Source organism: Homo sapiens, chromosome 8, assembly GCF_000001405.40.
Source record: "Homo sapiens chromosome 8, GRCh38.p14 Primary Assembly".
Classification (NCBI taxonomy): domain Eukaryota; kingdom Metazoa; phylum Chordata; class Mammalia; order Primates; family Hominidae; genus Homo; species Homo sapiens.
The window spans coordinates 124123234-124141446 of NC_000008.11; the positions used below are offsets into that span (position 1 = coordinate 124123234).

At 41.8% G+C, this 18213-nt stretch overlaps 1 long non-coding RNA gene across 1 annotated transcript in view; it reads right to left on the minus strand.

Annotated features, from left to right (window-relative positions):
* Positions 1–18213, minus strand: part of FER1L6-AS2 (FER1L6 antisense RNA 2) — a 125452-nt gene that overhangs the window by 77163 nt on the left and 30076 nt on the right. The window lies entirely within an intron of this gene.

Genomic DNA, 18213 nt, shown 5'->3' on the forward strand with positions numbered 1-18213 from the left:
GGGGATACAAAAGTGAACAGTTAAAGTCCTTGCTCAAACTCATGGAACACAGAGCTTGATGGAGAGAAGACATAAAACAATCACACACATAGATCATTACAGACTGATGGACTAAACAGAAACAAAATACTGGAAGCAGAGAAAGAACACCTTCCAGGGGGCCTGTACCCAGTCTGGCATCAGAGAGGCATCCTGGGGAAGGGATGGCTTAACGGAGATGACAGAAGAAGAGATGGAGAGAAGGAAGAGCTCCCAGACAGAAGATGGCATGTGCAAAGGCCCCGTGGTGAGAGGGTGCAAGGCACATAGAGAAGTCTGAATGACGGCATCATAGTGAGAGTCAGAGGGTCCTGAGATGGAGCTGGAAAGTCACGCAGGGGCCATATCCTTAAGGGTTTGGGTCTTTATTTTAAGGGCAATGGATAGCTATTGAAGAATTTTAAGCAATGGAGAGGTAAACTTAGATTTCCATTCCATATGGAGAACAGATTAGTAGCCCTTCAGACAAGAGAGTGGCTATGTTCACTCAGTAATGGCAGTAGATGAGGGAAGCGGAGGGATCAGAGATTCTATCTTTAAGGCTCCAGTGTGGTCTAATGGGGAACTTGGATCTAGTGTTGACTCTGTTTCATACAAACTATGTGACCTAAGGTGGCTACCTTCTCATCTCTGATCCACAGTTTCCTAGTCATATGAGGAGGTTCATATAAATGGTGAGGAAAAGTCCATGGCATATTCTGGTGCAAGACTAACACGTTGATGGGTCTGTAGCATGGAGAGTTTGAAGGGGTGGATTGAACTCAGAGCTGGATTGTGAAGGGCTTTGAATGCCATGCTAAGAAGGTTGGATTTATGCAACATAAAGTGGTGAACGCTGGGAGGGTTTAAGCAGAGAAGTGGCAAGAACAGGTCTATGAATTCGACAAGTTGTTCAGCCTTCTGTGCAAAACAAATTGTCAGGGACAATTGAGGTGGGAGAGAGACATCCTAGGAATCACAAGACATAACCCTGGCAGTGATAAAGGAGCCAAAAAGAAATTATTTAGGCAGATAGTGAGCGTAAGAGAGTTCTCAGTGGAAGTCGCTTTTAATAAAAAGCAGCCCCCAAAATAATTTTCTAACAGAAAGCAGCCTGAAGAATCAAGCTGCAAACATAGATAAGCAAGCTGGAAGCTTACATAGGTAAATGCCGGCAGCTATGCCAATAGAAAAGGACTACCTGGAAGCCAGGTATGTTCAACATGGAGGCTCCCACCTTTTCTTTGTCATCATGTGTGCAGTAAACAAGCAGGTAACATGGCGCCAGCCAGGTAGAGAACCCATCTGCATAATAAGAGATTAGGGTGGAGCGGTCAGCTTCTTTGTGCACTATGTAAATGGAACATCTGGTCCAACCAATCCTCTGTGCCCTATGTAAATCAGACACTGCCTCAAGCTCATCTATAAAACCAACCTCATCGCACTGGGAACCGGAAGATCCATTCCAAACCTCTTCCCTCTGCACAAAGGAGATTTTCTCTTTTGCCTATTAAACTTCTGCTCTTAAACTCACTCCTTGTGTGTCTGCATTCTTAATTTCCTTGGTATGAGGCAATGAACCTCGGGTATTACCCCAGACAAACGACGTCGATGCCACTTCAGCAGGATATAAGAACCTATGCCAGGACCATGGCTGCGAGGATGGAAAGGAAAAGCCAGATTCCAGAATCTTGATGACGTTCCTCCCAGAGGTGCCTGCCAGAGAGGACAAGGGAGTTTGGATGCTGGCTCCACCATTTCTACCTGGGCGGGTCACTTAGCCTCCCAGAGTCTCAATTTCCTCATTTGATAAAAAGAAGGTATTACCTGCTTGGCAAACGTTGGTGTAAAGATTGAAGAAAATGTATGGAAAGCGTATAGCAAGAGCCTGGCACAAAGCCAGTCCTCATAGGTAGTAGCTTAGGTCACAGGTATCACTTCTACAGGCAGAATCAACAGGGTATGGGGCTTAATTGGAAATGGACAGTGAGAAAAAAGGATCAGACCTTTTAGAAATGTTCTGCTACACAGACTAAGAAACTTTTCAACCAGTAATTATCCTGAATGCATTAGTTTTCTATTGCTTTCTGTAACGGATTACAACAAACTCAGTCGACTAAAGCAATACAGATTTACTGTCTTACAGTTCTGTGGGTCAGAAGTCCACCATGGGTCTCACTGAGCTAAACTCATGATGCTGGCAGGGCTGCCTTCCCTCTGGAGGCTTTAGGGGAGAGGCTGCTTCCTGGCCTTTTTCAGCTTCTAGAGACGGCCTACATTCCTTGGCTGTGGGCCCCCTTTCTCCATTTTCAAAGCCAGCAACATTCCAGCATCTCTCTGTGCCTTTCTTCTGTAGTCACATCTCACTCTGACTACACCTGAAAAAGTTCTTGCTTTTTTTTTTAATGCGTCTAATATTTTAAATTATTTTGTTTTATTTATTTATTTTGAGACAGAGTCTCACTCTGTTGCCCAGTGCAGATCACACTGGAGTGCAGTGGTGTGATCTTGGCTCACTGCAACCTCCACATCCCAGGCTCAAGCAATTCTGTCTCAGCCTCCTGGGTAGCTGGAATTACAGGCAACAGCCACCATGCCCGGCTAATTTTTGTATTTTTGGTAGAGATGTTGTGTCACCATATTGGCCAGGCTGGTCTTGAACTGCTGACCTCAAGTGATCTGCCCGTCTTGGCCTCCCAAGTGCTGGGATTACAGGCGTGAGCCACCATGTCTGGCTTAAGTTGTTATTTCTTTTAAGGCCCATGTGATAATATTGCCCCCCACTCTATAATCCAGGATAATTTCCCCCATTACAAGGTCCTTAATCACATTTGCAAAGGAGACACTTTGTCATATAAAGGACCATTCACAGGTTTTAGGATTAGGACATGGGCTTTTTTTTTTTTTTTTTTTGGCAGAGGGAGATACTATTCGACTACCACATTGAATATCTCCCAGGCATGGTAGTTCAGCTCAGTTTGGAAGTCAATTCAGCAGAGCTTTGAAAGTTGGTGGGATGATTATGGTATGTGAAAGGGAAGGCTCCACAGACACTTTTCTCTCAGAACAAGATGTTTTCATTTGCTGTTCAACCTCTCAAGTGACAATTATCTCAGAAACAAAAGGACAGGATCCCTCCTGTCCTTCCCTGACTGATTAAATCCTGGAAAGCACAGTGGATGAGGTGCTTTCTGAGCAGATGTGACAGGACTCTGCCACTTCTTCCCACATCCCAGCCTCAGGAGAGCCACATAAACTCTTAAGTTCAGCTTTTCTTTAACGCAGCAGTAGTTTCTTTACGTTCTTTGTTCTCCCTAGTTTACAAAGGGCAATTTGAGAAAAGTACATTTTTCTGAAGCATTGTGTGGTTTCTGCATCATTGTACTAGCACAAAGAAAATGGGCTTTGGAAATGGAGAGAATGCCACTGAAACTTAGGCGTAGCCACTTACTAGCTGCATGACCTGGAGGGAGTTATTCAATGGCTCTGAATCTCATGTTCCTGATGCATAAAATGAAGATAACACCCATCTTACAGGATTGTGTGGGTTGGGCATGTGATGACTGGGGACAGAAGTAGAGGAACATTATTATATAAAGTGTCTAGTGTATTGTCTTCTATATCATAGGAATTTAAATTAATAATCGCTTACTATCTAAGCAACAAACTAATATTCCTTCAGTGCTCTTATAGATTACAAAGTAATACATACAGTTCCTCAGGAATTCTCCCAAGAATCCCATTTTGTAGAGAGGAAACAGCTACAGGAACCTCCAGATCACCCGTTCATTTGGAACAGACCTAAGACCCAAGCCCAGGCCTCCTTTCTACTCCTTTGCGCTTTCCTTCCTAAGAGGCTGCCTGATGGTTTATTTAAGGTGGGTAGGGTTGCCTCCAGGCAGAAAATTCCTCAGTGATTTTTTGAGGTTCATTCATGAGTTTAGGGGTTGATCTAGCACCCCTGAAACATCTCAAATGTTTTACACAACACTATCATGTTTTGAGCCTCCCTTTTTACTTGAACCACATCATTTGATGGTTAGAGAATATAATGGGCATCTCTCATTCATGCTACCCTAGACCTTTAAATACTTTTTTTTCCACATTTGACACATCTTCTAGTGAGAATCTCCCCATTCTCAGTGCAGAAAACAAACTCCGGAGTACAGACATTTAACTGAGCTCCCCACAGCCGGGCATACAACTTGGAAATTAGTTGTGTGAAGAAACAGACCAAGAAGGAGGTATCGATCACCCCAGACACTGCTAGCTGCAAAATAAACATCCATTTCTCCATCCTTCTTGGAAGTAGAATCCCAGCTGTAGTTGGGGGAGAATGTGCTAAACTAAAGGCACGTATTTCCAATCTCTTGCTATTAGGGGTAGCCAAGGTTATGTAAGCAGAGATCACTGGGGAGGGCTTTTAGGAAATCTCATTAAAGGGAGTTCACTCAGTGGCAGGCTCTCCATGCATTTCTTCTTCCTCCTTCATCCCATCTGAATTGTGGTGTGATAGCTGGGGTCACATCGATTGTAAAGTCGCCAAGCCATTTCTAGTTGGTCTGTCTCTGGATTTTTCTATGCAAAAGCCAAATAAACCCCTATCTTTCTAAAGCCAAAGTTATTTGGGGGTGTTGGTGTTATACACAGCTGAATCAAATCCCAGCTGACACAAAGAAGCTTTCCTTGACCTTACAGAAATGGAGTCACTTTCTTCCAGTACCTTGTCTGAGTTGCTTCACCTCAGCTCAATAAAGGACCAGGTAACACTAGGCCCCTTTGTGATGACATTTCTCTTCAAGTTAGAGCTAAAGCCCATGGAGAATTTCATGTCAGGAGGCACCTCTGCATTGATGGACCAAGCCAAGCAGTTAGAATCTTCAAGTAAAAGTTCTCTTTTATTTCCTGAGCTTCTCTTAAATTTCACCTTTAACTTTTTAAAATTTACTTTTAATTTTGGTATAATATACATAACACAAAATTTACCAATTTAACTACTTTTACAAGTACAGTTTTGTTTTGTTTTTTCCTTTTCTTTTCATGGAGAATGGGGTCTCGCTATATTGCCTGGGCAGGTCTTGAATTCCTGGGCTCAGGCTATCCTCCTGACTCTGCGTCCCTAAGTGCTGGGATTACAGATGTGAGCCACTGTACTTGGCCATGTACAGTTCTGTGACATTAAGTACATTCACATTATCAGGCAACCATCATTGCCATCTATCTCTGGAACTTTTTTCATATTGTAAGACTGAAACTTTGTACCCATAACCCCCCATTTCTCCCTCCCCCTAGCCCCTGGAAATCACCATTCTACTTTCTGTATGAATTCGACTAATACAGTATTTGTTCTTTTGTGATTGGTGTATTTCACTTAGTATACTGTCTTCAAAGGTTCATCTATGTTGTAGCATGTGTCAGAATTTCTCTCCTTTTAAAAGCTGAATAAAATAAAAACACCACATTTTGTTTATCCATTCATGGGCACTTGAATTGCTTTCACCTTTTTGCCATTGTAATTAATGTGGCTATAAACATAGGTATACAAATATCTCCTCCAGACACTGTGTGATAGTCTGTTCTTGCATTACAATGAAGAAATTCCCGAGACTGGGTAACTTATAAAGAAAAGAAGTTTAGGGGAGTTGGGTCAAGATGGCAGACTAGAAGCAGCTCATGTGTGCTGCTGTCATGGAGAGGAAACGAAAGGGCTAGTCAATGCTGACTCTGCAGGCTGATCATCTGACAAACACATCAGGATCCATCAAAGCAGCCAGGGAACACAGAGAGCAGAGAGGAGGGAAGCTGGGCACCAGCCTGTCTGGGCTCATTGCAGAACTGGAAGAACCTCTCCATCATGGGAAAGGGTGAGTGAGTGAGAGCCTCCTGAGGGATTCACATTCTTCACAGGGATCTATGAAAAACTGGGAATAGGAGAATCCCCCTGGCACCCTAACACAACCTCTCCAACCACACTTCTAAACTGAGACAGAGAGCCACTTGGATGTTTTGCAGGAGAAACTTTTGAGTCTAAGGGGACCTCTACAAGTCTTGACGTCTGCAGCAGACCAGCACTGGTGTCATGGCCCCAGTAGGGGCTGCAGTCACAGTGCCTGGGAGCAGTAGGATTGCTCTGCCCACTCTCACCAGACAAGGCTCAGCACCAACTTCCAGCCCAGCAGACTACTTCTGTGTGAACTCAGCCAGTGGGTGACCCTACCCACTCCTGCCACTGGTAGCCCAGGAGGGCAACGCCTGCTAGAGATTCCAGCCCAGTGATCTCACTTCCACTTGAACTCAGTTGCAGGCACAGCCTCTTGTCATTCTAGGAAGCACCCGGATGGCAGAGTGGGTGGCCTCACCTACCCCTGGTGGCCAGGCAGGCAATGGCTGTTAGGACTTCTAGCCCAGTGGTCCCACTTCTGTGTGAACTCAGCTGGCAGGTGCAGCCTCCTGTTGTCCTGGGAAGCACCTGGATGGCAGGATGGGCCACCCCTGCCATTGGTAGCCAGGTGGGCAAGGGCTGCTAGAGCTTCCAACCAAGTGGTATTGCTTCTGTCTGAATGTAGCCAGCAGATACAGCCTCCTGTTGTTCTGGGAGGCAGCCAAACAGTGGGTTCAGTGACTCCACCTACCTCTACCTCTCATAGCCAGGTGAACCACACCTGCTAGTGCTCCCAGCTCAGGAGTCCTACTTCTGACTGAATTTCCTGAGAGGAACAGCCTCCTGTTATCCCAGAAATACCTAAATGACAAGACAGGCAACTCCAGCTATCCCCACCTATTGCAGCCAGACAGGCCACACTCACTACAGCTTGCAGCCCACAGTCCCACTTCTGTCTGAACTCTGCAGGTGGGTGCAACACTGTGTTTCCCTGGGAAGCACTCAGACAGACAATTAGGGCTGACCCAGCAGGCATACAGCCTGTCTGCCAATTGCAGCCTCTACTTGAGGGAGCCCCATGGACCAGAACCCCCCAAAAAAGAAACGTGACACTAATTAGAGGGGGTTCCAAGACTCAGCAGTGGACTAGACTCAAAACCAATTGACTGAACCCACCTTATACCACAATCAAACCCCCAAAGGCATCAAAGAACATTAAAAAAACCCATACAAAGGACAGCAACTTCAAAGATAGAAGCATCAGCCCATGCAGATAAGAAAGAACCAGTGCAAGAACTCTGGCAACTCAAAAAGCCATGGTGTCTTCTTGCCTCCAAATAGCAGTAGTTCCCCAGCAATGGTTCTTAACCAGGTTGAAATGGCTGAAATGTCAGAAATTGAAGAAGATGGATAGGAAGGAAGATGGACATTCAGGAGAAAGTAAAAAACCAATCCAAGGAATCTAAGGAATACAATAAAACAATACAGGAGATAAAAGACAAAATGGCCATTTTAAGAAAGAACAACTTGAATTACTAGAGCTGAAAAACTCAGTTCAAGAACTTTATCATACAGTTGCAAGTATTAACAGCAGACTTGACCAAGCTGAAGAAAGAATCTCAGAGCTCAAAGATGAATTCTCCAAAATAACTCAGTCAGACAAAATTAAGGGAAAACCAATAAAGAATAAACAAATCCTACTAGATATATGGGATTACATAAAGAGACCAAATCTATGATTCATTGGTATCCCTGAAAAAGAGGGTGAGAAAGCAAGCAACTTGGAAAACATATCTGAGGATAGCATCCATGAAAATGTCCCTAACCTTGCTAGAGAGGCCAACATTCAGGAAATGCAGAGAACCCCTGTGAGATGCTATACAATATGGCCATCCCCAAGATACATGGACATCAGATTATTCAAGGTTGAAGTGAAAGAAAAAAATATTAAAGGAAGCTAGAGAAAAGGGACAAGTCACCTACAGAGGAAATCCCATCGAGCTAACAGCAGACCTTTCAGTAGAAATCCTATAAGCCAGATGAGATTAGGGGCCTATATGCAGCATTGTTACAGAAAAGAAATTCCAACAAAAAATTTCATATCTGGCCAAACTAAGCTTCATAAGAAAAGGAGAAATAAGATCACTCTCAGACAAGCAAATACTAAGAGAATTTGTTACCACCAGATTTGTCTTACAAGAGGTCCTTAAGGGAGTTCTAAATATGGAAAGCAAAGATTGTTACTGGCTACCAAGAAAACACACTTAAGTACATAGACCATTGACACTATAAAGCAACCACACAAGCAAGTTGATATAATAACCAGCTAACAACATGATGACAGAATAAAACCTGTACATATCAATATTAACCTTGACTATAAACAAGCTATTAATAAATGCCCCAATTAAAAGGCATGGAGTAGCGAGTTGGATAAAGAAGCAGGACCCAATTCTATGCTATCTATAAGAGACTCACAACACATGCAACACAACCCATAGGCTCAAGGTAAAGGGATGGAGAAAAATGCACCAAGCAAACAGAAAACAGGAAAAAAAAAAGCAGGAGTTGCTATTCTAATTTCAGACCAAACAGATTAAACCAACAATGATCAAAAAAGACAAAGACATTACATAGTGGTGAAGGGTTCAATTCAACAAGACCACCTAACTATGCTAAGTATATATGCACCCAACACAGGAGCCCCTATATTCATAAAGCAAATTCTTAGAGATGTATGAAGAAACCTAAATAACCATACAATAATAGTGAGAGACTTCAACCCATCACTGAGAGTATTTGACAGATTGTTGAGGCATCAAACAAAGATATTCAGGACCTGAACTCAACATTTGACCAAATGGGCCTAACAGACATCTACAGAACTCTTTTCCCAAAACCAACAGAATATACATTCTTGTACTCTGCATATAGAACACACTCTAAAATTGACCACACAACAGCCATAAAACAATCTCAGAAAATTCAAAAAAACCCAAAATCATACCGAACACTCTCAGACCACAGCACAACAAAAATAGAAATCAATACTAAGAAAATCACACAGAACCATACAATTTCATGGAAAGTAAACAATCTGCTCCCAAACGACTTTTGGTTAAACAATGAAATTAAGGTAGAAATCAAGAAATTCTTTGAAACTAGTGAGAGCAAAGATAAAACATACCAGAATCTCTAGGACATAGCTAAGGCAATGTTAAGAAGGATGTTTATAATGTTAAATGTCCACATCAAAAAGTTAGAAAGATCTCAAATTAACAACCAACATTTCACCTAAAGGAACTAGAAAAACAAGAGCAAAACAACCCTGAAACTGTGAGAAGACAATAAGTAACCAAAATTAGAGCTGAACTATAGAAAACTGAGACATGAAAAACCATACAAATGATCAACAAATCCAGGAGTTTGTTTCTGGAAAGAATAAATAAGATTTACAGACCACTAGCTAGACTAACAAAGAAAGTAAAGATCTAAATAAACATAATCAGAAATGACAAAGGAGACATTTGCAACCAACCCCACAAAAATACAAAAAAACTCTGAGACTACTACAAATACCTCTATGCATACAAACTAGAAAACCTAGAAAAAATGGATAAATTCCCAGAAACATATAATCTCCCAAGATTGAAGCAGGAAGAAATTGAATTATTGTACAGACCAATGAGTTCCAAAATTGAATCAGTAATAAAAAGCCTACCAACCAGAAAAACCCCAGGACCAGAAGGATTTACAGACAAATTTTACCAGATATATAAACAAGACCTGGTACCATTTCTACTAAAACTATTCCAAAAAATTGAGAAGGGACTCCTTCCTAACACATTTCATGAGGCCAGCATCATCTTGATACCCAAACCTGGCAGAAATGCAACAAAAAAAGAAAAATTCAGGCCCATAACCCCAATGAACATAGATGCAAAAATCCTCAACAAAATACTAGCAAACTGAATCCAGCAGCATATCAAAAAGCTAACCCACCACATACAAATAAGCTTTATCCCTGGAATGCAAGGTTGGTCCAATACATGCAAATCAATAAATGTAATTCATCACATAAACAGATCTAAAAACAAAAACCACATGATCATATCAATAGATGCAGGAAAAGCTTAAATAAAATTCAACATCCCTGTATGCTAAAAACATTCAAACTAGGCATTGAAGGAACATACCTCAAAATAAGAGCCATTTATGAAAAATTCACAGCTGAAATCATACCCCGGGGAAAAGTTGGAAGCATTCCCCTTGAGAACTAGAACAAGACGAGGATTTCCACTCTCACAACTCCTATTCAACATAGTACCGGAAGTCCTAGCCAGAGCAATCAGACAAGAGGAAGAAATAAAAGTCATCCAAATAGGAACAGAGGAAGTCAAACTATCTCTGCTTGCAGATGACATGATTCTTACTTAAAATACCCCATAGTTTCTGCCCAAAAGCTCCTAGATTTAATAAGTTCAGCTAAGTTTTAGGATACAAAGTCAACATACAAAAATTAGTAACATGTCTATATACCAACAACATTCAAGCTGATAGCCAGATCAAGAATGCAATCTCATTCACAATAGCCACATAAAGAATAAAATACCTTGGAATACAGCTAACCAGGGAGGGTGAAAGATATCTGCAATAAGAATTATAAAATACTGCTCAAAGAAATCAGGGATGACACAAACAAATGGAAAAATACTTCATGCTCATGGACAGGAAGAAGCAATATTGTAAGAATAGCCATATGGCCCACAGCAATATACAGATTCAATGCTATTCCTATCAAACTACCAGTGACATTCTTTACAGAGTTAGAAAAATAATCTTAAAATTCATATGGAACCAAAAAAGAGCTTGTATTCAAGGGAATCCTAAGCAAAAAGAACATAGCTAGAGGCATCACATTACCTGACTTCAAACTATACTACAAGCCTACAGTAACCAAACAGCATGGTACTGGTACAAAAAACAGACACACGGACCAATGGAGCAGAATATAGAGACCAGAAACAAAGCCACACACCTACAACCATTTGATCCTCAACAAAGTTGACAATAATATGCAACAGGGAAAAGATTCTCTATTCAATGAATCGTGCTGGGAAAACTGGCTAGACATATGCAGCAGACTGAAGTTGGACTCCTTCCTTACAACATATACAAAAATCAAAGACTTAAGTGTAAAACCTACAACTATAAAAACCCTGCAAGATAACCTAGGATATATCATTCTGGACATAGGCCTTGGCAAAGATTTTATAACAAAGATGCCAAAGCAATTGCAACAAAAACAAAAATTGACAAATGGGACCTAATCAAACTAAGGAGTTTCTGCACCTTAGTTTCCTTTTATTCTGTTGAAAGGAAACTATCAACGGAGTAAAGAGACAACCTACGGAATCAGAGAAAATATTTGCAAACCATGCATCTGACAAAGGGCGAATACTCAGAATCTATTAGGAGCTTAAATTTATAAGAGAAAACCCCATTAAAAAGTGGACATAGGACATGAACAGAAACTTTTCAAAAGAAGACATACACAAGGCCAACCAGCATATGAAAAATAATGCTCAACATCATTAACCGTTATAGAAATGCAAATCAAAACCACAATGAGATACTATCTCACACCAGTCAGACTGGCAATTATGAAAAAGGCAAAAAATGACAGACATTGGCATGGTTGCAAAGAAAAGGGATGCTTATACACTGCTGGTGAAAATGTAAGTTAGTTCAGCCATTGTGGAAAGTAGTGTGACGATTTCTCAAAGAACTTAAAGCAGAAGTACCATACGACCTAGCAATCCCGTAATTGGGTATATACTCAAAGGAATATAAATCATTCTATCATGAAGACACATGTATGCGTATGTTCACTGCAGCACTATTCACAATAGCAAAAACATGGAATCAACATTAATGCCCATCAATTGTAGACTGGATAAAGAAAATATGGTACACATACACCACGGAATACTATGCAGCCATAAAAAAAATGTGATCACGTCATTCGCAGCAACATGGATGGAGCTGGAATCCATTATCATAAGTGAACTAGCACAGGAACAGAAAACCAAATACCGCATGTTCTCATTTATAAGTGGGAGCTAAACATTGAATACACATGGACGCTAAGAAGGGAATAACAGACACTGGGGCCTACTTGAGTGGGGAGGAGGGAGAGAATTTAAAAAACTACCTATTGGGTATTATGCTTATTACTGGGGTGATGAAATGATCTGTACACCAAACCCTTGTGACACACAATTTACCTATATAACAAACCTGCACATGTACCCCTGAACCTAAAAAAAATTTAAAAAATCCAACCCCACTGGAAACAAGAAAAAAAAAATGTAAAGAGGTTTAATTAGCTCATGGTTTTGTGGGCTATACCTGAAGTATGGCGCTAGCATGTTCTTAGCTTCTGTGAGGCCTTGAGCTGCTTACAATCATGGCGGAAGGTGAAGCAGGAGCAGGCATCTCACATGGCAAGAACAGGAGCAAGAGAGAATGATGGGGACGATGTCACACACTTTCAACCAACCAGATCTCAGGAGAACTCACTATCTTGAAGACAGCCCTAAGTCATGAGGGATTCGCCCCTATGACCCAAACTCTTCCCACCAGACCCCACCTCCAAAATTGGGGATTACATTTCAACATGAGATTTAGAGGGGACAACATCCCATCTATTATCACCTTGCTTTCAATTCTTTTGGGTACATTTCCAGAAGTGTATTTGCTGAGCCATATGGTAATTTGATTTTTAACTTTTTGAGAAACTATCATACTGTTTTCCATAGTGGCTACACTACTTTATATTCCAACCAGCAGTGCTCCAATCCAGAAGTGTTCCAATTTATCCAATCCTTACCAATATTTGTTATTTTTGGAGTTTTTTTTTGATACAACTTTTTCAGTAGGTGGTGGGTGTGAAGTGCTATCTTGTGGTTTTGAATTTGCTCTCCCTAATGGTTAGTGACATTGAGTGTCTTTTCATGTACTTATTGGCCATTTGTATATCTTCTTCGGATAAATTCCTGTTTGTCTTTTGTCTATTTTTAATCAGATTTTTATTGTTGCTGCTGTTGAGTTTAGGAGTTTCCTGTATATTCTGGATATTAATCCCTTATCAGACAGGTGACTTGCAAATATTTTCTCTCATTCCATGGTTGCCTGTTTACTCTGTTGATAGTCATTTTATATACCAATTTAAAATTTTCATGAACTCCAATTTGTCTATTTCTTCTTTTGTTGCTTGGGCCTTCAGTGTCATATCCAAAAAATCATTACCAAATCTAATGTCATGAAGCTTTTCTCCTAAGTTTTCTTCTAAGAGTTTTATAGTTTTAGCTGTTACGTTTCGGTCTTTGATTTTGAGTTAATTTTTGTATAGAGTGTTTGATAAGAGCCCAACTTCATTCCTTTGCTTTTGACTATCTATTTTTTTTTCCCAGCACCTTTTGTTAATATCCTTACTAAGTGTTTTTCTGTACTTCATTAATACATAATACTAATATTGTCAGATCTTTATTGCAGCAGGTATACTATTTTTCTAGATAATTTCCTATGGGAGATCTTCTATAATGTTAATCTCTGTGATGTCTATAGTCAGAATAGGCTAGGATATACTGTAGTAACAAGCCATACTGTAGTAATAAACATCCCCCCCTCGAATCTTAGAGGTTTTTCCTTTTCTTAGCAGTTTATTTCTTACTCAGAGATTTGGCTCTGAGTCTGAGGAACACTCTACATGTTGGCTGGGATTCTAGGCTGTTTTGATCATATGGACCCTCCCTATCAACACTAATTCCACAATTCCTGGGTCAGGGAAAATAGTGTGATAAGACTACAACACTATTAAATCCTTCTACTTGGAAGACTTGGCATTTCATTGGCCAGAACAAGTTAGATGGACATGCCCAACTTCAAGTGAGCAGGGAACTACAGTGACCCCTGTGCTCAGAGCAGAGGAGAACCGGATGTTGGTGAATAACAATAATGCTTTCTACATGTGGCTATAATTATTCCCAATGTACAGATCAAGAAATTAGGGCTCCACAGCTAATTATAAGAAAGTTCTATTTGGTTTTAAAACCATCTTCTCTCTTTGTTCCCAATAGCTATTGCATTGTAACTGGAAATAGACTATTTTCTCCCTAAAGAACTATCCAATTTTCTGCCTGTGCTAGTCTTTGTGATGTTTATGATGATTTAACAATACTGCTTGCTAACTGTAAGCCAACTGATTTTCAGTAAAATAACAAAAATCAGATTGTGGTGAATCTTTCTTATGGTTTTTCTGAGTCACTTACTGCTCCTAAGAGCCCACCTGGGGCTGTCAGGAAATACTCAAGGGGCTTTTTTCTTCCTTTGGCATTCAGGAAGCTCAGCTAGAGGCTTAGGAATTAGAATCCAGGCATGTAGAGGTAGCAAAGGTGACCACTAAATAGAAATAAATCTGCAGTGATGTAAATTTTAAAAATAAGCATTAGAGGTACATGACACTCTGCTCATGTTAACCCTCTACACCAGGAGGGGCTTCCTTTCTTTCTTCCAAACCCTAGTACACCTTGTTTGATCTCTCCTGTAATCCAGAACACATTTTATCTGGCTCTAGAATTCATGCTTATCATGTCTTATTCACCTCTGTATACTGAGTTTCCTCAGACCTCATCAACTGATGGGTAGAAATGAGATTACAGTGACAGTAATAACCCCATTTCATAGATTCTTATGACCCAATGTGTTCTATAGATTTCAGCTGCTTAAAAAGTCCTATTCTCTCACTCAGGGAGTAAAACATTGCTTTTAAATAAAACCTTAAACCAGGCCTTGGGTAGTTCACCCAACATCATTTCACCTCCAGATACAGCAGTGGGAATAGGTATGTGGGCAGAAGCACAGACTGGGGTGACAAGTGTTGGCCAGTGACAGCCAGTAAGAAGTATGCTGGCTGGGGCTTTGAAAAGCTCTGGTTTCTCTGACATGAGGAGTAGTCGGGCTCTTGCTTGCCCTTTGTCCTGTCCCTTGATTCCTGCCTGGAATATAGATGTGATGCGTGGAGGTGCAGCAGCCACCTTTCCACATGAGGGCTGAAGCCAAGGTCAATGACAGCACACCAAGAAGTATGAGAAAGCTTTAGCTCTGCACTGCTTCATTCAGACTTCTAGTTACAAGGAAAAAAAAAACCTTCTAACTTGTTAGTCCGGTTTTTTGTGGCTTGCAGCCAACAGCAATCCTAACTTTACAGAATGCCAAAGCACATACCTACAAAAATACAGAAGAGATTAAATTGCTTTTAAAGGAAAATATCCTCATTTGAGTCAAAATAGTAGGTAAGAGGCAGAGACTGGCCAGATTCAGGAGCTGAGGCAGGATAGACGTCTACAAAAATAGAGACTGCAGTAGCCTACGTTTAAGAACATTCCCCTCTCCCCCAGCACATCAGCACCACTCATATATAATCTGATTTATGCAGAGGCAGGGCAGAGGCAGGCACAATGACACAAAAGCCTCATAAAAACTCCGAAATAATTCAACAACTAGGTCATTTGGTGAATGGGCTTTTAGTAAATTAGCTTTCAGCAGATTGATTTTCAGCAAAGTGACTTAAAGCCTGTGTTTTCAGCTGGAACCGTTGCCATTTCCCAAGGCTGCCACACTTTCTACAATAGCTAAGCACTCCTCTGTGCCAGAGCCAGGCTGGGAACCAGCTAGGGTGACAATGCCTCTCTCCACACTCACTGTGTGCTCCGGGAGGGCCCCGGGAGAGGCCTGCTTCATCCCATGGTCCTGAAGAGATTTCAAGTGGAACAGCTCTTTGACATTCCCACGCTCCCTGGAGGATTCAGCATAGTCAATCACTGGGGTTGGGCACAGAGACAAACCCACGGGGACGCCTGAGCTTTACTCACACCCGGCCTTCCCTGCTGGGGACTGACCCTTTGATACTGGTCAAACTTTTGGTGCCCACCCTTCCTTTTTATTTTTTTAAGACCGAGTCTCTCTGTCTCCCAGACTGGAGTGCAGTGGCGTGATCTCGTCTCACTGCAACCTCCACCTCCCGGGTTCAAGCGATTCTCTTGCCTCTGCCTCCCGAGTAGCTGAGATTACAGGTGCCTGTCACCACACCCAGCTAATTTTTTGTATTTGTAGTAGAGACGGGGGTTTCACCATGTTGGCCAGGCTGGTCTCGAACTCCTGACCTCAAGCAATCACCCACCTCAGCCTCCCAAAGTGCCGGGATTACAGGTATGAGCCACCGCACCTGGCCCCCTCCTTGTTTTTAGAAACACTCCCCAGGTGTGACTACTGCTGCTGATTGGAAGACCTTTTTTGAGAGATTCTCCTATACCATGCTGCCTTGTGTATGATTTAGTAGGACTGCCACAGCAAAATACCACAGACTTGGGGGCTTAAACAACAGATGTATATCCTCACAGCTCTGGAGGCTGAAGTCCAAGATCAAGGTATTGTCAGAGTTGGTTTCTCCTGAGGCCTCTCTCCTTAGCTGGTGGATGGTCGTCTTCTGTGTCTTTATACCATCTTCCCTCTATGCGTCTCTGTGACCAAATCTCTTTTTATAAGGACAGCAGTCAGACTGGACAGGGCCCACCCTAACAACCCCACTTTAACTTAATTTCCTATTTAAAAGCCCCATCTCCAAATACAGTCACATCCTCAGGTACATGGGGTTAGGGCTTCAAAGCATGAACCTTTTTGCGGGGGACACAAGCCTATAACAGGCATAGAGTAGGCCCTCAAAGCAAATTTTAAATTACTCCAGTGATCTTATCCCAAAATTATCCAAAGTCTGCCTTCTCTGCTTTATATGTATCAAAGCAACTGTCCATTGAAGGTTTGACCTCCCAAGTGAGTTGTTGACAGGAGCAAACAGACTAGTCATGCTAACGCAAGCATTCTGCTCCATGTGACAGAACTATTTTTCACTGTAAAGTAAATCAAGCAGGATTCTGGTGTTTGCCTCACTCGGGTGTACATTTTACTCAGCTTGAGACAGTCTGGAAGGTCTCATCACCTGAGCACTGACAATTGTGCATCTCTGGGCTTTCCAAGGCAAGAATCAGATCCTGGGATATGATGGATGATGGTGGTATCACTGGTGCAGTCTTCCTCGGCACAGGCCCCTCCTCCCTAATTATTCCTATTTTACAGATGGTCAGAGAGGTTAGGTAAATTTTACAAAGTCACACAGCTAATAAGTGGTGGCAGAGCCAGAATCCACCCCCGTTCTCTGATGACAAAGCCCAAGATTTGTCACTGTCCTGACATTCTTTCTTCTATGAATAGATATGCAAAAACAAGTGGCAACTGACTCTTCAATTCCCTGGTGTTGTCTGTGTCATTCCTTATGGGGAAATGCTGCTTTGGAAAAAATGAAGGATAATGGCAAGGGTGACATCCAAGCAGCCTAACTGACAAGATAGTGCTGTGGAACTGTGGTCGAGCTTTAGCTCAAATCACTCTCATCAGATTGGGGTTCTGGCTCACAGACTCCCAGCATTGGCAGCCATATTTTGGCACTTGATTCAAGCCTGGATCTTTTAAACCAGGGACTGCAGAAAAGAATGTATCAGGAACAAGCACACAGGAAGGAGGAAGGGCCAGGCCCAGTGACTCACACCTGTAATCCCAGAGCTTTGGGAGGCTTAGGCAGGAGGATCGCTTGAGGCCAGGAAGTTTGAGAGCAGTCTGGGCAGCACTGCAAGACCCCATCTCTACAAAAAAAAAAAAAAAATTGCCAGGGGTGGTGGTGTGAGCACTTGCAGTCCCAGCTCTTTAGAAGGCTGAGGCAGGAGGATTGCTTGAGCCTATGAATTTGAGACTGCAGTGAGCTATGATTGCACCACTGCACTGTAGCCTGGGCAACTGAGTGAGACTCTATTTAAAAAAAAAAAAAAGAAGAAAAAGGAAGGTCAGGAGTGTGTCCTCCCCAGGGTCAAATCCTACCAAAGCTGCTTTTTCCACTTCCCCTAGGCCTCCTGTCTCCACCTGTAACACCAGGTTTCTGCCTCTTTCCAAGTTTAGTATTATTTTCCTGCTTTGTATCACAACCCCTGCAAGGACTAGAGCATGTGAGCCATAAGGAGAGGCCATGCACAGTGATTAAGAACAAGCCATTAACATCGCAGAACTGGATTTAAATCCAAGTTCAAACATTTAACCTTCCTTCTGAGATAGAAAGATGGGGGTAATAGCCCCAAACTTATAGGTGAACCATGAAGAATGTGATAATAAAGTTAAATTCTTGGCATACAGTGAGTGCTCAATAA